The 25,434-nt window shown below is 39.0% G+C and overlaps 1 protein-coding gene and 1 long non-coding RNA gene across 5 annotated transcripts in view; one reads left to right on the top strand and one right to left on the bottom strand.

Moving 5' to 3' along the window:
* Positions 1 to 25,434, top strand: part of RCAN2 (regulator of calcineurin 2) — a 271,235-nt gene that overhangs the window by 140,687 nt on the left and 105,114 nt on the right. The gene's annotated exons all lie outside the window — the stretch shown is intronic.
* The window catches only part of LOC101926915 (uncharacterized), an 89,185-nt gene that overhangs the window by 14,225 nt on the left and 49,526 nt on the right, over positions 1 to 25,434 (bottom strand). The window lies entirely within an intron of this gene.

Raw genomic sequence — 25,434 nt, 5'->3', positions numbered from 1 at the left:
CTTGGTTGTGAAGTGTCAAATGCTGGAAGGATTCTGTCAATACTTGACAATAGCTAGCAAAGGTGTAAGAACATGAACTTTGGGGCTAAACATGGCTGGGTTGAAATCCTGGCCTCATTTACCAGCTTGGTGACTCTAGGAAAGTTATTTGACCTCTGCATTTTATCCAATAATGCCACTGCAAGGTATTGATCATATAGATATAATGATAATAGCTAGACTATATACCCTTTTTTGTCACTTTATATGTTAATTTGTTAAGCCTCCCAACAACCCAAGAAGGTGATACTATTATCATCCAGAGGAGACAGAAACACAGACAGGATGACTAGCCCAAGGTCAAGTTAGTCAGCACTCTCATGAGAGGCAGTTTGGGGCACGGTTAAGTGGGTGGGCTCCAGGCCAGACTTTTGGGGTTTGACTCCCAGTTCTACTGTTCACTAGCAGTGTAAAGGGATTAGAATAGTGCTTGCTACATAAAAACTACCAGGTAGTATTTTACTCTGAGGGAAATAGGATCCTTCCTCAAGCTATTAAGGTAGGCAGCATCTGCTGATTTCAAAGTACTTTCTAATTGTAGAAACAAGAGCCGTTTCAAGTCAATTCCTTAAGCAGCAGTGACTCCTGTATATCCTTTGCAGTGGCTTTATTCAGCTCATAGCTTGCCTCAGCATGTAAAGAAGCAGATCAGTTTTACCATTTCTATTCTCGGCACATAGAGCCAAATGCCCAGAAATAATGTGATTTATACCAAGTGACTCTCCTCAATTGCTCTGTCTCCAGGACACTCACTTCCCTCCCATGATGCAGTTATTGGGGTTGCCTGCCCCTGACCCAGGAGAACCTGCCTTCGTGATAAAGCAACACTGCCCCCATCTAAGCTACTCTCTGGACACCTCTATCCAGCCTGCTCACCTGCTCGTAAACCATGCAAATTCTTCTTAACATCAACCATTGCCCTGGAAGAGTCTAGAAGTAGGGATATACACTGCAACACAATATTCCTAGATGTTGTTCAATATGAGATTTTTACTCCAATTTCTAGCTGTCCCCTGCTCCATTCATGCATTAAATATTTATTGAGGAGCTGCTTTGAGCCATAATTTTTTGTAGTTGCTGGGGATGCTGCACTGACAGTAACCATCATTGTTCCTGCCCTCGTGGATCTTACATTTGAAGAGAGAAAACCAATTAAAAAAGTAAACAAATAAAACTATGATGTGATAGGTGGTAATAAATGCTACTGAGAAAAATAAGGCAGGTTGTTAGAGGTGGGCCAGTGATGTCAAGTGGGGGCCAGGGACAGATGAGGTAGGTTTTTAAAGACCAGAGTGAACATTTTGAATCTTATTGTCAGTGTAATAGGAAGCCACGGTGAGGGTGAGAGCAGGGAATGATATGAATTGATTGGCTTTTGAAAAGGTGGATCATCCTGGCTTCTGTGTGGAATTAGACTGTATTAGAACTAGAAGAGAAGCTGGGAGACCAGTCAGGAGGCTCTGGCATTAGTCCAGGTGAGAGAAAATGATGGTTTGAACCACAGTGGTAGAGGTAAGAATGGTCAGAATCTGAGATTTTCTTTGATGGTTCAGTCAACAGATTTGTACATGGGTTGGATGTAAGTGAGTGAAAAGAGAAGATTAAAGGAAGACTCCGGAGTAGAACAGTTCTGCCTTTCCCTGAGGGCAGATTTTTTTTTTTTTCTAATTTTACTTTAAGTTCTGGGATACATGTGCAGAACATGCAGGTTTGTTACATAGAAATACGTGTGGAATGGTGGTTTGCTGCACCTATCAACCTGTCATTTAGGTTTCAAACCCTGAATGCATTAGCGATTTTTCCTAATACTGTCCCTCCCTTTGCCCCTCCCAACTCCTGCAACAGGCCATTGTGTGTGTTGTTCCCCTCTCTGTGTCCATGTGTTCTCATTGTTCACCTCCCACTTAAGAGTGAGAACATGCGGTGGTTTTCTGAGACAGATGTTTCTTTACTTGTGTTATCTGTGAATGTCTTTCTCTCCTCTAGATTTAAAATTGCTTCAGGACCCAGAATTCTTAGATATTCTGGTTTCCTCTTATCTTTTCCTTCTCTTATTAGTGACTCATAGTACTTTACACCTAGTAAATGCACAATAAAAGCTGTGAAACAAGTAAGTTATAATGCATAAGATGTTTATTAGTAAGTAAATGTCCGTAAATTTTAATATTTGTTCTGAATTTGCTGTATGGTTTTGGAAAAATGGCTCACTTTCTGACTCAACTGTCCTATTATGAAATAGCGTTCTTCATGTTTGCCTTTGTAATGTAGATGTAGTATCGATATACTTAATGGTAGGTGGCAGACAATTTGGGGATATGGGATAAAGAGTCCTCTATTATCTGCAGTAATGGAAAAAGCAGAGGGGGAATAATTGGGGGAATATGTCTTACGGAGGCATCATTTAATATGCATTTTAAACTTGCAAGGTGCATTGTCATCACTCCCCTCCATGCCACTGGCAGACGTTGCTGATTGTCCTTCCCTGAGAGGTCTGGAAATGGCCTTAGAATCTTTCTCAATATAACATGCCGAGGTACCATTCTTTCCTGACACAATCCTTTCATCTAATAGTGGAGGAAATTAGAACCCAGATATAGTAAATGACTTTTACCAACTCACAAAGTTCACCAAGCAGTGGGAACAAAATTGGAGCCTGAGCCTGAACCCTGATTCCCATAGACAGAATGATCAGGGCTCCAGCACCAAGGTCTAATGGAAGGGGAGGAAGCTCTTGGGGAATGGGAAGATTGGGCAGGGAGTGGGGCCCTAGAGTCAGCAGTGAGGTACAGAAGCTCCTCAAAATGTGCTTGGAAGAGAAAGGGGTTCTAGAGTCCATTGCTCTGTAGATGTTTTCAGTACCACAGACGGACGGCTGGCTGTTGTCTAGGATTCTTATTTCCCTTTACAACTCTTTAAGAACAGAGGACATGTATAATTAAATCACAGAGGTTGTGATCTGACATGCTAATACTGCCCTTGAATGTGGATATTTTTCTTGTTTATTAAATACTTGCAGAATTAAAAAGCAACCTCTCATTGCCTATTGAATCTGAGTTCACTCACCTTAGACACACCACAAAATGGTTATTTAATTTCCTTAACATAAAAAGAGACACAAACATGATTTCAATTGGGTTACTAGATATGCCATCGATGGAAATCTAGTCTTTATGATTGAAATGATGGCTGCTTCCATTTAAATCACAATGTAGTATTCTGCTCAGGTCCTGTACTCGGCCACGCTGTCCTCCCCAGACTTTGAACAATAAAAGGTCTTACTTATTTATTCTCACACAGGCTTGATTTACTCATTACTATGCCAAGAAAGAAAAATGGCTTTTGTTCTCTCTGAAAAAGTTTCTGTTAAACAGATATCTCTTAGTGAGTCAACCCAAATACCGGATGTGAGAATAATCTTTAAGCTGAACTTTCCCCTGGGTGAAACCTGAGCACTTTGAACAATGACTGTTTTTTGTTTGTTTGTTTGTTTTTGTTTTTGTTTCTGTTTTGGCAGAAATCTTTGATAGATCATTAAACATTTTTATGTAGTTGATAATTCTACTTGTAGTGGGTTGTTTTGAGATTTTAGTGAATTGGAATATTTTAAAAAACAAGGTAACTATTATTAAAGCTAAGATAGGAAATATGTTATCTCCTTATAAAATACATATAAGATACTTTTTACATTTTGGTTGAGATTAAGATTATATTTTTAAGTATACCTTTAAATACTTTTCCCTTGAATGTAAGGTGTAACCCTGAGAGTAGTTATTAAATCTGAAGAATTTTCTTATACCTAACACCAATGCCATTTTCTACACATTGTGTCCTAATGTAAAGGGCATGGTATTGGGAGGAGGAAGATCTAGGTTCTAGACTTCATTTTATCACTAACTTGATGCATGACCTGATGTACATTACATGTGTCCACCCAGGAGGGAGAGCTCCATTTCCCTATCTATAAAATGCAGGCATAGGACTGATTAATTTGAAAGCTTCTCCAGAGAAATATCATTGTATAAACTGTGGTGTTGCATTATCCAAATTTTTCTCTAAACAACTGGTTGGTTGGCCAGGCGCGGTGGATCATGCCTGTAATCCCAGCACTTTGGGAGGCCGAGGCAGGTGGATCACAAGGTCAGGTGATTGAGACTATCCTGGCTAACATGGTGAAACCCTATCTCTACTAAAAATACAAAAAATTAGCCAGGCGTGGTGGCGGGTGCCTGTAGTCCCAGCTACTCGGGAGGCTGAGGCAGGAGAATGGCATGAACCTGGGAGGCGGAGCTTGCAGTGAGCGGAGATCACGCCACTGCACTCCAGCCTGGGTGACAGAGCGAGATTCCCTCTCAAAATAAATAAATAAATTAATTAAAATAAATAAATAAATAAAAATTTAAAAACTGGTTAGATTTTTCTCCCTACTGTTATTATAGGGACAAAATTATATTGCAGATGATTTAGAAAATACAAAAGAAAAGAAGAAAACCGAAATTATTGGTAATTGCTTCAATCCAGAGTTAAGTACTATTAATATTTTGATGCATTTTTTCAGGCTTTTTATATGTATGTGTGTTACATATAACAGGATCTGACTATATAAATATTTTACTAAACTTTGTATCTTTTCCCATGACACTAATTCCTTTAAGAACCTACTTTTAATGGTTGCATAATATCTCATCCCATAGATTTCTCATAATTTAGTTATTTCCTAATGGTTAGACATATATTTTATTAGCATTTTTGCTATTATCATTCTTGCACATAAATATTTATACTGATATTGATTTATTTGAAGAGATTTCCAAGCATAATATTACCAGTAAAAGATGATGCATGTTTTTATCAAATTTTGGCATCAGGATTATGCTGCCCTTATAAAATGAGTTGGGAAGTGCTCCTTCTTTCTTTGTTTCCTGAGTCTATAAAATTGTTGCATAATTCATTGATTTTACATTCTTTTCCTTTTCACTATAGAGATTTGAAGCTATAAATTTCCCTCTGAGCACTGCTTTACCTGTATGCCATAGATTTTGATATATTGTTTCATTATAATTTGATTTAAAATATTTTTAAAATTTCCTTTTAGATTTCTTCTTTGACCAAAGGGTTATTCAGAGGAATATATTTTTATTTTCAAATTGATTTCTAATTTAATTCCTTTGTGATCAGAAAGCATATTCTGTATCAGCAGTTATTCAAATTTTTGGTCTTACCATCTTTACACAAGTAAAAATTATTGAAGACTCCAAAGAGCTTTTGTTTATATTTATATTTACCATATTAGGATTTACAACTGAGAGGTTTTTAAAATAAATATTTGTTCATTTACTTTAAAAGAGCATGTTAACACAAATAACATTATTATGAAAGACAACTATATTTTCCAGAACAAAAAATAGTGAAAAAAGTAACATTGATTTGTATTTTCACGGATTTCACAACTTGTCTTTAAGGTCTGGCTCAATTTGGAAAGAACTTGATTTTTATATTTGTTTCTTCATTAAATCTGTTGTGACATCACATGTTATCCAGCCTGTAGACAATTCCACTGTACACCTATGAGAAAATGGGAGTAAAAAAGGCAAATAATGTCTCATTATTTTGAAAATAGTTTTGACCTTGTGGACTTCCTAAAAGGGTTTCAGGAACCCCCATGTGTTCCCTGTATTATATGACGAGAACTGCTTATTTACATTATTTTTGATCCTTTTCAATCTTCTGAGACTCGTTTTATAGTCCAACATGTGGTCTACCATGGCAAATGTTCTGTATACACCTGTGTACATCTGAAAAGAATGTATGTTCTGCAGTTGTTGGATACCGTGTTCTATAATTATCAATTAGGTCAAGTTTGTTTTCGGAGTTGTTCAAATCTTCATCTTTTCTGATTTTTATTTTTTTTCTATCAATTTCTGAGAAAGGTGTTAAAATATCCAACAGTGATTGTAGATCTGTACTTTTCTCTTTAGTTCTGTCAAATTCTGTTTCATGTATTTTGAATACTCGTTATTAAGTGCATTCACTTCTAGGTTTGTTACATTTTCTTGATATGAAAATTATAAAATATCTACATCCTAATTTCTAATAATTCTTTTTGTCTTGAAGTCTACTTTGATAATGTAGACCTACTGTTTCTTATGCTTACTATTTGTAAGGTTTATATTTTTCTAATTTTTACTTTCAACCAGTCTGTGTCTTTAGATTTAAAATATGTTTATGTATATTTAAATAGATATCACATGTATTTATAAAGTATTATAGTTTTGCATATACATAAAGAGAGAAAAAGGGAGATTTTTTATTTTAATCTAGTCTGTTCATTTCCACATTTTAATTAAAATGTTTATAATTCATTTACATTTAAATAATTATTAATGTGATTGAGTTTAATCTGTCATCTTGGCATTTGTTTTCTATTGGTTCTATCTGGCCTATATTCCTTTGTTGTTCCTTTTCTGCCTTCTCTTGGGTAAACACATTTTTTTTAGTATTCCATTTGATCCCTCTTGTGAACTTTTCATCTAGCCCTCCTTTTGTTATTTTTTAATGGTTGCTCTAGTCTAGAGACTACAGTACACATCTTTAACATATTATAGTATGCCTTAAACTAATATTACATTACTTCACAAAGGAAGAATGTCACAACAGTATAATTCCATTCAAACCACCTCCCCTCAATATTTGTGTTTTGTCATATATTTTATTTCTACATATGCTGTAAACTTCATAATTCATTTTTTTGCTTTTAATAATCAATAGTATTTTTAATAATTTTTAAAATAAATATAATAAGAAGGTCTTGTCTATTTACCCACAAATTTATGCCTTCCAGTCCTCTTCTTCCCTTCCTTACCAATCTTGGTGCCCATTGGGTATTATTCTCTTCAGTAAAGAATACTTTTTGTGAAAAAAATCATTTCTAGAGGGTCAGATGTGCAGTAGGTAAATACTCTGAGCCTGTTTTTCTTTTTTCTGTTGAAAATGATTTTCATTTTGTCTTGACATTGTTTAATAAATTTATTGAGGCATAAATTAACTATCATAAAATCCGCACATTTTATGTGTATAACTCAATGATTACTAGCAAATTTACAGAATTATACAACCATCATCACAATAGTTTTAGAATAGTTCTATCTTCCAGAAAAACTCCTCATGCCCTTTTGCAGGCAGTTCTTTCTCTTTTTCACTCCCAGTTCCAGGCAACCATTATTTTACTTTTATGGACATTTCATATGAATGGAATAATGTAATATGTGGTGCCTTGCTTCTTTTAATTTAGCATAATATTCTTGAGGTTCATTCTTGTTGTAGCATGTCAGTAGTTTATTCCTTTTAATTGATGAATAAACTGCATTTTGATTATCTGCTCACCAGTTGGAGAGCATTCATATTATTTTCATTTTTTGGCCATTATAATAATGCTGCTATAAACATTTAAAAACAAGCTTTTGTATCAACATATGTCTTTGTTTTTTCTTCAGTAGATACCTAATAGTGGAATTCCTGGGTCATATGTTAAATTTATATTTAACTTTTAAAGATACTATCAAATTGTTTTCCTGGCTAGGTGTGGTGGCTCATGCCTGTAATTCCAGCACTTTGGGAGGCTGAGGCAGGCAGATCACGAGGTCAGGAGATCGAGATCATCCTGGCTAACACAGTGAAACCCCGTCTCTACTAAAAATACAAAAAATTAGCTGGGCGTGGTGACGGGCACCTGTAGTCCCAGCTACTCAGGAGGCTGAGGCAGGAGAATGGCATGAACCCGGGAGGCGGAGCTTGCAGTGAGCTGAGATTGCGCCACTGCACTCCAGCCTGGGCGACAGAGCGAGACTCTGTCTCAAAAAAAAAAAAAAAAAATTGTTTTCCCAAGTGGCTATACCATTTTACATTCTCACGTGAAATACATAAGGGTTTACCTTCATGTTTGAAGGTCATCTTTTGCTGAATATAGAAATATAGTTGATAGTTTATCTTTTTTTCCTTGACTTAAAAATATGTTGTTCCCTTGTATTCTGGCCACCATTGTTTCCCATAAGAAGTCAATAGTAATTCCTGTTGTTGTTCTCCTGTATATAATGTCTTTTTCTTCTTCCTGCTTGATATTTTCTGTTTAATTTAGAATTTTAGGAGTTTATGACACATCTAGGTGTGGTTATCATGAAGTTTGATGAGTTTTCTGGATTTATGCATTAATATCTTTAATCGATTTGAGGAAAATCTTGGCTATTATTTCTTCAAATGTCTCTGCATCATTCTCTCTCTCTCTTCTGCTTTTAAGACTCTAATTATACATATTTAGAATACTTTATATTGTCCCACAGATCTCTTTTTCCCTATTTTAAATCTAGTCTAGATAAAGTATTAGTTTTACAGACTTACTCTTTGGCTGTGACTCTTTGGGATTCTGATCCATTATTCTAGCCCACATCAAACCATAAAAGTTTTCTGTGAGTTCATCTGGTTTCTCCTTATGCCTCTCTATGGCAAATTCTTTCTCCCACAACTACACCAAGGATGAAAGCAAACATGTACTTTTGCTCCCATGGGAAGGGCTTACCGCTTTATGGAATTTGGTTCATTTAGGCTTTCCTTTCATCAGATCTCTGGGTTTGAAAGAAAAGCTATGTTCTATATGTAGGTCGTGTTCTTCTGGCTTATTCTTTCTTTCTTTCTTTTTTTAAGAGACAGGGTCTCACCCTATCACTCAGGCTGGAGTATAGTGACACAATCATAGCTCACTGCAGCCTTGGACTACTGGATTCAAGTGATCCTCTCACCTCAACCTCCTGAGTAGCTGGGACTACAGGCATGAGCCACCAGTCCTGGCTAAAACTTCCTTCTTGATAAGGTGATTTATGTTTCCACCACTGGCATTCTACATCTTTCTCCACTTCACCTTCTATACCAGATGTCTCAGAGACACAGCACAAAGAAAACTCCAGCCAAATGCACAATAACTATTCTTTAATAGAGCATTTGCCCTGATACTCTTTTTCCTTACTTATTCCTATTCCAGGGCTGGTTGACTTTGAAAGTAACCTAAAAGTCTTTGTCCCTTTTCCTTGAGCCTAGAGCCAGTCTTTCATAGCCAGGTTCTTGTTTCTCTACTCTTGACACTCTAACACTACACTCAAAAGACATATCTCAGTCAAAGAGGAATGTGATTTCTCAAAGCTCCAGTATTTCCAAAGGTGCCCTCCATAACCAAAGGCACCCCAACCCAAATCCCAATCTAAGCAGTTGTGAATATGTATAATCAACCTGCCATTTTATAACAGAAACAGCCTTCTTGTGCATTTCCCTGTGGCTTCTTACATTTCCTTCCTTACCTTCCTCTGTCCTAGCTTTTTGATTTACCACAACCCTTACCTGAAAAGGAAGAGTAAATAAAAAAAGATATAGGACTGACATTTACTTTTCTAAATACCTTTTTTTGGGACAGAGTCTTGCTCTGTCACCCAGGCTGGAGTGAAATGGCATGATCTCAGCTCACTGCAACCTCCACCTCCCAGGTGCAAGCGATTCTCCTGCCTCAGCCTCCTGAGTAGCTGGGATTACAGGTGCCTGCCACCATGCCTGGCTATTTTTTGTATTTTTAGTAGAGATGGGGGTCTCACCATGTTGGCCAGGCTGGTCTCAAACTCCTGAACTCATGATCCACCCACCTCAGGCTCCCAAAGTGGTGGGATTACAGGCAGGAGCCACCGCCCCCGGCCAGTGCCTTTCTTTTAAGCAAGCTTGTCCAACCTATGGCCCAGGACAGCTTTGAATTTGGCCCAACACAAATTCGTAAACTTTCTTAAAACATGATTTTTTTATGATTTTTATTTTTTAGTTCATCAGCTATCATTAGTGCTAGTGTATTTTATGTGTGGCCCAAGACAATTCTTCTTCTTCAAATGTGGCCCAGGGAAGCCAAAAGATTTGACCCCCCTGCTTTTAAGGATGACCTTCAAGTGCTTAGAAATACAGAGCAAGTCATTTGATGGCTCTGCCTGCCATTTTTATGCAGGTATAATCTTTTTAAAGTATAGGGCATTGGCAGCCTGCAGCTTGACAAGATTCAGAGATATAATCATAATGTATTTCCAATTATTTCTTACTTATTTGAAATTTTATCAATGATAAATGTCTATTACTAATTAAGATTTTTTAAAACTAGTAACTTTACTAGAAAATTTTTTCTGACCTCATTCATTTTACCAGTTTTGCTTTCATGCTCATTTCTTAAGCTCAGTTTTCTCCCTTGGTCTCTGTCTTGACACATGCTATCCATCAAATAATGATATGGCTACCTGCTAATTTGCTAATTTAAGACATTCAAATTAACTTTAAAAGAAAAGTTTTCCTTCAAGGATTCATTCAAGGATTAAATCCTCTTGCTTCTGTTTCTATCCCCATTTGGCTTTTGATTCTGTATAAAATTAGATTTTGCATTTACAGCAATACACTTCAACACACACACATGTACATACATCTGCTGTATTAGTTAAGGTAATGATTTCTATTTTACCAGATACACTCTAAAATTTCGAGGGCTTACCAGAAGAGAGACTTATTTCCCACTCCTGTAATACCCCATCACAATGTGATAGAAGAGGGGGTTGAAGGAAATAGGAGTGTGCTCCATGGAGTCCTTCAAAGATCTAGAATGATAGAGGCTCTGCCATCTTCAACACTTCGCTCCCAAGGTCAGCTTGAAGAGGAGAAATGAAGGTTCTAAAGGAAGTTCTTATGGCTGAAAGTAGCATGAATTGTTTTCTGCTCCCACTCCATTGGCCAGAACTCAGTCACGTGATCACACCAGAGCTGGGCCCTGATTGGGAAACAACTTTTCAGAAACAACTCTGTACTATACAGGGGGAGCACAAACCTTGGGTGGATTTTCAGTTATCTCTCTTATATGCATAAATACATCTAAGACTTCATGGCTAAGTCCCTAAATTCCAGTATAAATCTCTAAAATTCTCAAAGCTTGAGGAATTAAGGAGTTGGATAGTGGAGTAGGAGACTTTATGGCAAGCACCGAAGACTGTCTTGGTAGTAGTAGTAGCAAGTGGAGCTGCAACTAGGGTAGAAGATCTCAGAAATAATCTGTCCATGAAAGGAAGCAAAGATGTGATTAGCTTATCTTATCATTCACTCATGCATTATTTCATTCATTTATCAGACATTATCTTGAATAGTTGCTTTATGGCAGGCAATGTGCTAAGGGCTGAGGATACAAGGATAAATAAATTATTTATACCATCTAGTGGGGCAGCAGCTGTAATGGATTCATGTACATTATGTATGTGAAAGTCATATACATTATTTTAGTGGAGGAGAATGGCTTTCCACTGAGGTAGCCTAATAAATTCCCAGTGTAGTCTCAGAAACCTATTTTCCTATTGGATTCTAACATTTCCCTCCTTTGTATATATACAGGCCCTGGTTCCAACTTTGCATTCTATTTTCACGGACAATAGTATGATAATATTTACTTAGTACAAAGATCCCTCGGCCACATATTATTTGCAGAATGGATTTAAAAGGGGTGAAATTGAATGCAGGGATGGTCAAGAAGCTACTGTCGTAGCTTTTACTGGTTCTCTCTTCTATTAGGAAGAAAATTTAAAATCCTACCCATAACGCACAAAGCTGTTCATGTCAAGCCACTGTTTAATAGTCTAGCTGCTTCCCCATAGCTTCCCACCCCTGATCCCTAACTCCACTTTGGGCAGCCCAACAATATTGGGCTACTCATAGTTTCTCACACTTTGACACCTCATTCTATGCCCCCGTTTATATATAAAAGTCACTCTCTGCTTGGCTGCCCATTTAGAAAACTAAAAAACCACTTACCTCTCAAAATCCAGCGAAATGTGGCTTCCTTAGAGAAATCTTCTCTAACTCTCCTTCCTGCACCAAACTTAAATACTTCTCCTATGCTCCTACTGTATTTTGTATTCATATCATTTATGACAATATAATTTATAGTATATTACATAATACCACATCATATTATAATTTTTCATTTCTTTCTACCAAGACCTCTTTAAAGGAATAGTGACTTGTCATCTTTCTATGGCCTGTGCCTAGGTTGATACTGGGAACATAGTATATTCAATAAGTAGTCATTGGATGGGTGGGTGGTGGATGGATGGACTGATAGTGGGTTGATATCATCATATGAAGAAACCCCCTTTAATTCTTTTTTTTTTTTTTTTTTTTTTTTTGAGACAGGGTCTCGCTTTGTCACCCAGGCTGGAGTCTAGTGGCATGAGCTTGGCTCACTGCAACCTCCACCTCCTGGGTTCAAGCAATTCTCCTGCCTCAGCTTCCTGAGTAGCTGGTATTACAGGCATGCATCACCATACCCGGCTATTTTTTTTGTATGTTTTTTAGAGACTGGGCTTCACCACTTTGGCCAGACTGGCCTCAAACTCCTGGCCTCAAGTGATCCACCCACCTTGGCCTCCCAAAGTGCTGGGATTATAAGCGTGAGCCACCATGTCTGGCCTAACAGCAATGGAAAAGCAGTGAAGGTATTTGAACCAGGGGAGTGGTATAATTCACAGAACTAGTTCACACAAAGCCAAATCTGGTGGTACTGAATAAGAAGGTGGGATCAGCAGGGAAGCAGAGTGAGTCGGAGGCTGATAACAGACTTTTGTTATTTTTGAGTTGCTCAGCATTCTAATGCACTTTCTATACTGGGGAAATTCACTCCCCATTGCCTATGGTGGGGTTGTTACATGCCACAAAGAGGCCATGAAGATTAAGATTACCCTAGCCAGGCTTCCTGGCAGTTGGGGTTGGGGTGTGTGACTCGGGCTTGACCAATGAGACACCACACCCGAACTTTTGACTCTAGAGGGTGTGACACAATGTCACAGGGACAGTTAGTGATCACTTATAGCAGCACAGGAGCAGTGATGAGGACAGCATTGGGAGGGTTCCAGTGGTGGTATCCTAGCTACACTGGTTTCTGTATCATTTTGGCTGTGGTCTTCTGCATCTTAGACCTTCTTGGTTTCTACCTAGTTTCTGAAGCTGTTTCTCAAGATTCTTGTTAACTCTGTAAGAGCCACCTGCTCATCCCCTATATGTTACTGTTTTGCTACTTAGCCAAAGATATTTCCTATCATTTGCATCCAAGTGCTCTGTCAGGTATAGGAATTGGAGCAGTGGTGACACTGGTGGGTGCTGCCCAGCATCCCTCTACTCCTAATCTAGATTTTTACTTGCATATCCTTCCATTCCCATGCAGCCCACACTTCAGGGAAAACTGATACCACTCCTCACTCTAGGGGTGAGTCTAAATTGGCTTTTTCACCAGAATGTTAAATCAGCACATTCCCTAGCCCAGCCACAGTCATGTTCAGAGGTGAACAGGTGACCCAAGTGTCCCTGTTGTGGAATAAAATAAAGGCAGAGGGCACTACCGGCAGCTGTCCTGGGAATCAGCTTTAGAATGACACTGACCTTCAGAAGACGGAGCTAGAGAGACAGCACCTTGCGATAACTTCACTGAGCCTCTGGCTTAACCAGCCCTGAACCAAAATCAAGCTATGGATTGCCAATGGAAGAATTCAAAGATGACTAAAGTTACGATGAAAGGTGAGTGGGGTGGAAGGTGGTGTCACAGTTAAAACAGGAAATACAGAAAGAGGATCAGGTTTGGTGAGAAGATTAGATGTTCAGGTCCAAATATGGTACGTTTGCTTTTCTAGAAGTCTTTTTGCACTTTAAAATCCTTTAAATGCAAATAAAGAGTAAGGCTTATCAAATACTTTCACATGTTTACACCTCAAACTAAAGTCTAGGCATTTTTGAAAGATTAAAAATAGCTGCATAGAAGGACCACAATTCACAGATTTCTGTGTTGCTTTTCTCATGCTGTAGGTTTTAGCACAAGAAGAAAAGCAGTGAAAAGGAATCTGCTTCTAGAGTTTTGACTACTCAGAACTATAACAGTACTGCAATAATATTCTTCCTTAATTAGTGCCAATAAAAACGAGTATCTCTTACCATTGTAAGAAGTAATCTCATTTTTTATCCTTCCCCTTCTTTTTTTAATTTTTTTTGCTTTTTTTTAACATGGAGATAAATGATATTAGCTACAGATTGAAATGAGCAAATGTGTATGTGTGTCTCATTGTCATGTATGTATGTCACAAATGTACTCTTGTCATCTGTATAACTAAGCTATTTCAGTTACAGTTACCATGATCTACCCAGACTGAAACCCTTAGAATCTCCTTTGAACACTTCTCCCTGTGCTTTTTTTTTTTTTTGGTACTTCCAATATGTTTTTCTCCTCACTTTATCCCCCATCCCCAGATCATTACCTTGACAGCCAATTAATTGTTAAACTCTAAACACTTTATCTCCGTGGTGTTTCCCACATTCATTTCCTTTCTTATATTACTACTGCATCTCCGTAATCCAACCCCTATTGCCTCTGGCAAGAGTTTTGGAGTCACCAACATTTACAATCCTTCCCCACTTCAATTTAACCTCTTGCACCACTCTTTTCAAGAACTTTTGATAGATTCACATACCTTACTGGATGCAATATGCCCACTCTTAACCCTGGCACTCAAAGTCCTCAGCTATGCGGCCATGACCCTCCTTTCCAATCTTATTGTAACCCATCATGCCCTGCTCAGGCTTTCCATTCCAATTAAATAAGCTGTTCACTGGTCTTTAAACACATCCCTATCCTTGCCTACAAGGCTTTGATTCACCTTAGCTCTATCCAGCATCCACATCACATGCCCTTCTTTTTCCTTGAAGCCTTTCTTGATCTTTTTCAGTGGGTGAGACCTTTCATATCTTTAAGGAACTTTCCCTTGTCCTTGGCACCATCTTCCCCTTAGAGATAAGACTTTGAAACCTTGACCCTTTAGCACCTGCCTTGCTGTCTCTGAAAACCACCCCATCTAGTCTAGTCACTGAGTTCTCTTATATTTCTACAATGTCACCAGCAGTGCTCATTGCTACTTACAGATTTCAACCAAGAAATTCAGCCAAGTTGATTTCTGTTCTTCTAAAGTTACTTCGAGATGCCAATTTCTTTCCCTCCTACTTTTGCTGCTTTCCAACTGTGTCTTCACATCACCACTGTAATTCTTTCCAAAGTGCAGATGTGTTCATCATCCCTCCTCTAGAATGTACAAGTTTGTATAGCAGAAATGTTGAGAAGTTAAGAGTTCACACTTTGAAGACAAGGCATTTGGATATAATTTAGCTCACCCACTGTCCAGCTAGTTGTCCTTGGGCAAATTACATCATCTCTAAATGGGGCCTATGGTGAAGTTTAAATACATTAACTCCTATGAATGTTTACAGAGTTCCTTCACAAAGTTAGCCCTAAGGAAATGATAGTATGATAGGATGATAAATTCCAAATTTCAACTGAGATAACATAAGTTAATAAATATGACATTCTAAACAGAGGTAGGTATCACACCAAAATGCAGATTTTCTAAGCAGGTGGCCCAAAAACTAGATAGATAGCACTATATCCTGAAAGGGAGATTAGTAAGATAAAGGGAGTGGAGATAAAAAGATCCCTACCAAGGTTGTCTTTGTAGAAATCCATGCTGAGACTCCTGTTGGGACCTCAAGAGGAAGGTTTAGGATGATGCCTGCCCCCTCATCTCAAGACTGCTTGGGAGAAGGAGGAGCGTCCTTTCCATGGAATCATTTGAAAACGTGAATATCTAGTTCCCAATGATTGACTCCCACTTTATTGTCCTTTGTTATTTAATCTAGGTTTGTCCTTGTGTGTGTATTGAACAGGACTTTTTTAGTTGTTAGTGACAGAAACAATACCTGAATTGGGTTGAGGAAAAAGAGAGGCATTGGTTGGGATAATGCTAGCATATTAAAATAACCAAAGGAAGAGTTGAATAATGAGACTCATGGCAGGACAGGGCATCACTGGGCCTCCAAAGTGACTGAAAATGAGGACTCCGATGCTTCCAGAATTTGATGTCCTTTCTCCACTTTTTCTTTCTGTTTCTAATTTGACTTAATTCAAAGGCACAAGAGAAAAACACAGCAGCAACAGTCCCAAGCTTCTGACATCACAGGGGACTGGTGCTTTTGACCCAGTTTAGGTTTGGAAAATCCTCATGAGAAGTCTGACCAGCCAGCTAAGGGCCTCCTTCAGACACATCCAATATGGGAGGAGAAGGAGAAGTTTCCAGAGAATGCAATGCCTAGAAGACAGGGATGCTGAGCAAACACCCTTTTTATTTTCATCCCTGTAATTTTTTCGAGTGTGTCAGCTTCTTAAACATGGTACTGCCCAGATGAATGCACTTGGTTCTGATATTGAGGATGGAAAGGGGAAAATATGTCTTCCTAAAGAACGAATTAAGGCAGGGATAAAACTCTTGGACCCGGGGAGGAAGGTACGGCAAAGAAGAAATGACAGTGGCTTCTTAGGAGTGCCACTCAGTGATTAGCTGTAAGGTATCTGTGGGGCCTCAGCAGCAGTAAGGTGCTAACTGGGCAGTGGTGGAATGAACACTGTCCCTGAGTCTGCCTGAGGGCACTGCAGCTGCCACTTAGCATGGACCTTCTACACAATGCGGAGAATGTGGATTGCATTTTGTGCCCCTCTTCCTGTTTTCATTGTCCCTATGACTTCTCATGGACCTCTCCTGCCCCCACCCCACCATCCCTATTGTCCAGTGACCTGAGTCATCTTCATTTACCTCAGCCTCCCTTCTCAGGTTCACTCTCCTTTATAGGGACCTAGGTTGTAGATTTATTTCTTGTCTGTGTGACAGTACCTGTTCTCTGCTGGCTTTCCAAGCAAAAGAATTCCATTCATTCATTCATGTATTCATTCATCCAACACACTCACTGAGCTCTCACTGCATGGCAGGCCTTGTTGTTTGGGGGCACTTGGAGATATAGCTGTGGGCAAGGTAGAGGAGCCCGCTTCTCAAGGAGCTGGCTTTCCATGGAGGGAGGGAGATAACAACTATGCAGATAAATATACAGTGTCCATTAGTGGTCAGTGCTTGGAAGAAAAATAATGCAGGCTAAGGAGATAGTGAAAGGAGTGCTACCTAGATAGGCTGATTAAGACAGGCCTTTTGAGGAGGGACATTTAAGCAGAGACATGAATGCTGTGGAAAGATGAACCCTGCCACAATGATGGGAATAGTGTTCTAGACAGAGGGATGGCCAAGCGCAAAGGCCCTGAGGTGAGAATGTGTTTTTGCATGTGATGGACAGACTCAAGTGAGGTATCATAATGGAAGAAACACAGGTGACTCTTTACCATAGGAACAAACCTTAACACCTTGCTCATAATAAGAGAAATATAAACTAGAAAACTCATTGAGGTCTCTAGTGTGTGTTTAGGATATCTTGATTGCTAGTGTCAGTAACAGAATCTGAATTAGCTGGAGAAAAGATTGGAAGGCATTGATTCAGACAATGCTGGCTGAGTTCACTTGTAGAAATATGTGCGCCTACAGAAAGAGAAATGCAAATCAAAGCTTCACTGAGATAATCACATCTTACCCACCAGATGGGAAAATGTCCAATGCATTCTGAAACACATACTGTGGAGAAACAAACTTTCTCATAAATTGCTGGTGGGGAAGAAAAATAGTACAATTCCTGTGGAGAAAAATTTGGCAAGAGCTAGCAAAATTACATAGGCATTTGCCTTTTAACCCAGTGTTTCCACTCTAAAATGTGTCCCAAAGATACAGTAACAAAATATGAAAATTCAAAGTCTATCCATTGCTGCATTATTTAATAGCGAAAGGCTGGAAACAATCCAAATGGGGACTAATTGCAGAAACGTTGGTAAATCCAAATAGTTGAATACTATACAGGTGTAAAAAGGAAAAGGCCTATTTCTACATATTACTATGGTGTGATCGCCAGCATCACATTTTATGGTGATTAAGACCAAGACAGAAAATAGTGAGCAAAGTGTGCTATCATTTATGGGATAAAGGTTGGGAAAATAATATACACATATACTTGTTACTCATCTGACAAAGGGCTAATATCCAGAATCTACAATGAACTTAAACAAATTTACAAGAAAAAAAAACAACCCCATCAAAAAGTGGGCACAGGACATGAACAGACACTTCTCAAAAGAAGACATTTAGGCAGCCAAAAAACACATGAAAAAATGCTCATCATCACTGGCCATCAGAGAAATGGAAATCAAAACCACAATGAGATACCATCTCACACCAGTTAGAATGGCAATCATTAAAAAGTCAGGAAACAACGTGTGCTGGAGAGTATGTGGAGAAATAGGAACACTTTTACACTGTTGTTGGAACTGTAAACTAGTTCAATCATTGTGGAAGTCAGTGTGGCAATTCCTCAGGGATCTAGAACTAGAAATACCATTTGATCCAGCCATCCCATTACTGGGTATATACCCAAAGGACTATAAATCATGCTGCTATAAAGACACATGCACACATATGTTTATTGCAGCACTATTCACAATAGCAAAGACTTGGAACCAACCCAAATGTCCAACAATGATAGACTGGATTAAGGAAATGTGGCACATATACACCATGGAATACTATACAGCCATAAAAATGATGAGTTCATGTCCTTTGTAATGACATGGATGAAATTGGAAATCATCATTCTCAGTAAACTATCACAAGAACAAAAAACCAAACACTGCATATTCTCACTCATAGGTGGGAATTGAACAATGAGAACACATGGACACAGGAAGGGGAACATCACACTCTGGGGACTGTTGTGGGGTGGGGGGAGGGGGGAGGGATAACTTTAGGAGATATACCTAATGCTAAATGATGAGTTAATGGGTGCAGCACACCCGCATGGCACATGTATATATATGTAACTAACCTGCACATTGTGCACATGTACCCTAAAACTTAAAGTATAATAAAAAAAATCAGATTAAAAAAAGAATTTTTAAAATGAGAGAGGCTAAACAATAAGGATGTATGAGAAGGAAAGAAAGAATATTTTGATCACAGGGATAGAAGCTGGATTTCTTTATAGATCTGTAGTTTTGATTTTTGAGCCATGGAAATATTTTATATAATTATAACACAAAATTAAAGAGAAAAACAATCATTAGGCATCAAAAACAGATGAACCTAACTTAGTCTTTAGTTGGTGGAATAGATGTGCTATTCTAAATGACTGTAAGACATAATTTGTATATGCTTTATGGGATATACTCTAAGGACAAAAATAACTAGAAAAAAATCTTAAACTCTTTCTGGTTGCATTAATATTGTGATTCCAAGGCTGTTGTGCCTATAGTGTGGGATAAGGCAACTAGCCAATTATGTTGCTGGTAAGAACGAAGATATCTGGTGTGAAAGAAAGGGATACAAATGTAAGACTTATGTGTTTTAGCAGAATCTCTGTAGTCCTGGATCTGAAATGGAATGATCAATCTGAACTCATGGCATATGTTATCTTTAAAATATTTACATATTTTCTAGCTCTGTTCACTGAAAAGGCTTATAAACAATACCCAACCCAGTACAAAGAGCTCCTGTAAGCCTCTAGATTGATATCTTAAAATATGTTGAAATATTTACCAAGTGGAACTGGGGTTCCTTGGAGAAATGCCTGACTCCTTATCTAAGGCAGGAAATGAACAAGATGAGTCTGGAACATCTTGTCATACCATAAGGTAAGTGCCCTTTGAAGATTTGTCAGAGGACTCAGGAACCAACCTGATTAAACTCCCACTAGCTAAAGATGGGCAATTTGAGCATTAATAAGATTAAACCTCAATGTATTGTAGTTTTATACGTTTAATATGGTTAACCATCACATATGTTTAATCCATGAATTCCTAATGATACTTTAAAAATAAAAATGAAAAAACCCTCAGTGATCTTTGCAGGATAATAGGGAAGTAAATCATGAAAAAAAAAAACTGAGTGCAGTGTCTCAAGCCTGTAATCCCAGTGACTCTGGAGGCTGAGGCAGGAGGATCACTTGAGGCCAGGAATTGGAGACCAGCCTGGGCAACATATCTCATAAAAAGTTTTTAATTAATAAAGGAAAAGAAGCAAATATTTATTTTTGCCTTTATTACAAAAACCATGGCTCAAAGTAACTAAATAGTAGATGAGAAGTAGTTCCTCTTAATGGAAGTGTTCCATGAATAAATGAAGGAGGAATATCATCATTGTGTAAATCCTAATAAATGAACGCACCTAGGCATTGAGCATGAAGGCACTAATACCACAAAAGAGAGACAGCCAGACTCTATGTACCCACTGATAGAAGTACACATAGCACCATCTAGGAAGGAGTCTTGCCAGACCTGAATCCCTTAAGCATCTGGATCTAAACAACAGAACCTACAGGCAACAGAAAAATCTGTTAAACTACACTGTGTCGAGTTTCTAAATTTCCACTATATGTAAATTCTAAAAGACAAATAACATGGCTTCATCACCACCAACAAACTGCAAGGAATTAGAAAAAGAAATGGAGGAGAACTCTATAGATTAAAAGAAACATGAGAGACACAGTAGTTTGGATCCCAATTTAAATAAGCAAACTATTAAAGAGGAAAGAAGGAAGAGAAGGAACACCAGGATGCGATCAAGGAGAGGGGGAGAAAGGATGGGAAGTGAGAGGACATCATAGTACAGCTGGAGAAATTTGAACCCTGGCAGGACGTTTGGTGATACTAAGGAAATATTCTTGCTTTTCGAATTGTGTGATGGTACGTATTGTGATTTCAAAAGAGGAATCCTTTGTCTTTTAGGGATATATACTGAAATATTTATAAATGAAATGATATGATGCCAGGCACCTGCTGCAAAATAATCTGGAGTGAGTATGGAAGTGGGTGAAGACGTGGAGCTGTGGTTTTCAGGCTTGAGCTTGCATCAGAATCACCTGGAGGGCTTATTAAAATACAGATACTGGTCTTCCCTCCAGAGTGTCTGATTCAGTCTTGGGTGGGGCCCGAGAATCTGCCCTTCTAATAAGCTCACTAGTGATGTTGATGCTGTTGGTCTGGGGACCACACTCTGAGAGTGACTAGCAGAGAGGAAGCAAGATTGGCCCCTTGTTAATTATTCTTGCACCTGGGTGGTGGATACATGAAGGCTCATTATTATATTCTGTCTTCTGCTGAATATATTTGAAATTCTCCATAATAAACATTTAAAAAACAGATGATCCAGAAGGCCATACAGAAGGAGCAGAGCCTTTGACAACCCATAGCTGTAATGGGAACTTCTATGCTCATTAGCCAAACAGGCTTGGCTGCTGCTACCACAGCTTCCTCTGGGATTGGAAGGTGTGCATCTCCTCCTGCTGAGATGGAGGTGAGTGTATCAGCTCAGCTGTCCATCCTTTTAGAGAATTGCCTGAACTGAAGGGAGGGCAATGGCCTCTGTCCAAGGGGTCTGTGCATAATGCATCCTTTCCTCAGTGTGATCGGTCATTGCAAGAGCAGTGGTTTGGATGAATCCCAAGGTTTTCTGGCCACTTCAGCTGGAAAGGACACTCCTGAACAGAGCTAAGCCAGGACTCAGCTCTCAGAGATGAGAGGTTATCACCGAACTCACCATGCCTTTGCAGCCCTTCTGCAAAAGCCTCCCTGCAACTCCTGGATCTAGGAGGCACCTCTATTGGTTTGAGTCTCTCTACTTGCCTTTTTAGATTCATTTGTGTATTTATCCATTCATCTTTCAGATGTTTATTAGAGTAACTCCTAAGTGTCAGGCATCCTTCTAGCCCCTGGGAATAAGCAGGGAGCAGAATAGGCAAAAATCTCTGCTTTTATGGAGATTAAATTCTAGTTGTGAGGACAAGCAGTGGACACATAAAGAAATAAATGAACAGAATAATTTCAGGTAGTGAAAAGTGCTGTGAAGAAAGTTAAAATGAAGATGCCAGGATAGTGATTGACTCTGTGTGTGTAAAAATGTGCACACAATTTTTATTTTAGCTGATTGGGGAATACTTTTCCAAAGAGATGTGATCTGAGCGGAGATCCAGATGATAAGAAGGAGCAAGCCATGAAGAGATCTGAATATTTTCAGAGAGAGGGAATAGCAAGTGCAAAGGGCCTGAGATGGGAATGAGCTTGGAAGTTTTTCCTTTGTTTCTTTCTTTTTTTTTGGAACACCAATAAGGCCAATTGGGCTGGAACAAGAGGAGTGAAGAAAGGTGAGAATGATATGAGATGAAGTGGGAGAATAATCCAAGTCTAGTGTTTACAAGGCCTTGTAGCCATTGGCCAAAGTGTATCTATATTCTAGACACCTCCAAGGCTGCAAGTCAGCCCCTAGCTATAAAAAAACACATTCTCGGCTAGGGGTGGTGGTTCAAGCCTGGAATCCCAGCACTTTGGGAGGCCAGCGTGGGCGGATCATGAGGTCAAGAGATTGAGACCCTCCTGGCCAACATGGTGAAACCCCATCTCTTCTAAAAATACAAAAATTAGCTGGGCGTGGTGGCCCGTGCCTGTAGTCCCAGCTACTAGGGAAGCTGAGGCAGGAGAATCATTTGAACCCAGGAGGTGGTGGTTGCAGTGAGCTGAGATCGTGCCACTGCACTCCAGCCTGGTGATAGAATGAGACTGTATCTCAAACAAACAAACAAACAAACAAAACTCTAGAGAAACAGGACACTGTTATAACAGGAGAGCCTCCTGGGCTCTCTAGCCAATAGGAAAATGACCATATTGTATAGACGAATGACTATTAAAAACCCAATAAGTTGGGGGTTTAAAACCCACTAATTTTAGTTCAGAGTTACTGGAAAGTTCCTTTGCCCCACAAATCATCTGCTCTTGATGCCTAGAACTCTGCCCTAAAAACACAATTTGCCCAACTTAAGACTCTGTCTCTTATTAAAATATGTATTCCTCTGGGAGGGATAATACTATGAGTTATCAGTCATTTAATGCTTATACAGATGAGTTGACAACTGTCCTTGAAAAGATATTTTAAAAGAGGAAAGCATAAAGTTAGTGGGTGCTTGGATAGCAGGAAGGAATCTGTAGGGCAGAATCAAATTAGAAAGGGAAAGCTGAGGATACATCAGAAAAAAAAAACTGCCTATTTTACAACTTCAAGTAGGGCTTTGCTTCCTGGATAATGTCCTCTGGTCAGGGCATATCACAGCAATGTTTATCTTTTATAGCTCTTTCCTAAACATAAAGTGTGAAATAATTCATACAGCCCCTTATGTAAACAGAGCAATGATTAGAATGTGTTGCTTCTACTTTGCTGTTGTTTCTTGATGGGCTCTGGGCACACGTGGACTTTGCCTCTATGGATGAACTGTCACTGATATGGCATAACGTTTTCATGAGTATGAAACAGTGATGTGCTGGAACAGCCCGTGTGAGCAGATTACATGCATGTCTTCCCAACTTTGTATTCAGTTTGACTTCACACTGACTGCTGGAAATCAGCCATGATGAGCATATTTACACCATAGAAATTGACGAATGCTAAAAATTGAAATGTTTCTTTTCAGAGAGCTGATTGTTAAACATTTACCAGTATGCTGTGAAATGTAAAAAATAAATTTTAGGATATGCCATGGCATATGAAAAAATATTCATTTCTTTGTTTTGCCTCTTGAACAGATGCCAGTGATATTCAAAATCACATTCATCTTTGTATTACTTTACATTTTAGCTACACTTGTACAGGTAGATCCCCCATTTACCTTTTCAAAAGCTGCCTGGTACTTCATGTTGGCCAGGTTTTGCATCATCTGGCTCCGGCTGCCTTGTATACTTCAGGCTCCAGCCAGATTTAACCCTGAGTGAGTTTTGCATCCAAATGCCTTATTCTTTCCTTTGGACATTTCTAGTCTGTTTTTACCTAGCTGAAGGGCACCCCTCACTTCTCTGTCTGCCAGTATCTTTCCCGTATTTCAAGGTCAGAGCAGAAATTTCCTCCCCTTCTTTGATGCTCACCTGCCATCCTAACATGGGATCCAGCATTCAGCATTCATTGCTCTTTCTCCAGTGCTCCCACTGAACACTTCCTATACCTATTCAGCCATCACCATCCCTGCCTTGTGAAATGTTGGTCTCCATGTCTTATCTCCTCCCCTGGATTTTAAGCCCATTGATGATAGTGACATTTGCTTTTTCATCATTTTATCCTTGAGAGTATCAGATGCAGAGCTTTGCATAGTCATTACTTGATATTAGTTGGATTATATGCATATATGACTTAATATTTCCCACAGTGTCCTGGACAGCGAAATAAATGCCACTTGAACAAATGCACAAAGACACACACACACAGTTTCATCAGTCTAAATATCCATATTTGTGGCCTGATTACCTTTAGCATAGAAAATGCCTTGTTGAAGGGGAACATTGGACTCAAGTGTACACCAATGAGGACAAATGAGAAAGCTTCTACTCTCAGTCTGAAATGTCACCTTTCTCATCTGCATGTAAAATTGGGAGGCTTTTGTCCAGTCATATGTTAGAAAAGTACCAATCTGTTATAAATCAGGATGTTCCAGTGGCCACTGAAGATACAACTGAACTCTTAAGGATAGATACTGCTACAATGTTAGTGAGTTCTACTGGGACTTGTATAACTAATGATAAAATAAAAAACAATTGGAAATTTTTCCTTTGGTCACTCCTGTGAAAGGAGGCTATTCCTGTTTGATTGATTTATTTATTAAACAAGTATCATCTTCTTGTGCCAGGCAATCTGTGAAAGACTGAAGATATAAAGGTAAATCATCTGTGGCCTTGCCCCTCAGGGATTTATAATCAGGAAAAAAGCCTGAGAAAGCAAAAGGATGTGTTCAAAGTCTCAGGTGAAGTCAAGCCCCGAGGATCTGACAAGCTCTGAGACACATCAGTGAGTTTGCCCGTTAGACCCTGCCATCTGTCCCCGTGTGAAATATTTGCTGTAACTCCTTTCCATGAACTGCTTTTGGTTTGAATGACCTTGGAGACAGCCTGAAATCCTGAGCTTGGAAGGGTGCTCTTAGCGTTACTGGTCTGCACTTATAGCCTTCAAATAGAATTTCCACAAACCTCTAATTATCTCCTCTTACCATGCTCCCTAAATGACAGACGACCAGCTCTTTAGTCACTCCAAGAACGGATTTCTATTCAGCCCATGCCCGGGATGCATTAGGATGCCCAGAACATGTGTGGCTGCTCTGAGTGGCACAGAGCAATTAACAGAAGCCAAGCAATTTGCAAAATGCCTCAACTTCCTGCTCATCTCGAAGGCAGAAAATTGTCAAACCTTAACCTCAGGAGGCTCATCTGCAGAATTACACCTCCCCCACCTCAAAGAAGAAACTCTGGTGTCAGATTCACCCCCTCCTGCTTTTTGCAAACATAAGCACTCGGCTGCAACAACAGCTATGACT

This window comes from Homo sapiens, chromosome 6, assembly GCF_000001405.40.
Source record: "Homo sapiens chromosome 6, GRCh38.p14 Primary Assembly".
Lineage (NCBI taxonomy): Eukaryota > Metazoa > Chordata > Mammalia > Primates > Hominidae > Homo > Homo sapiens.
This window is presented reverse-complemented; position numbering and strand designations above follow the sequence as displayed.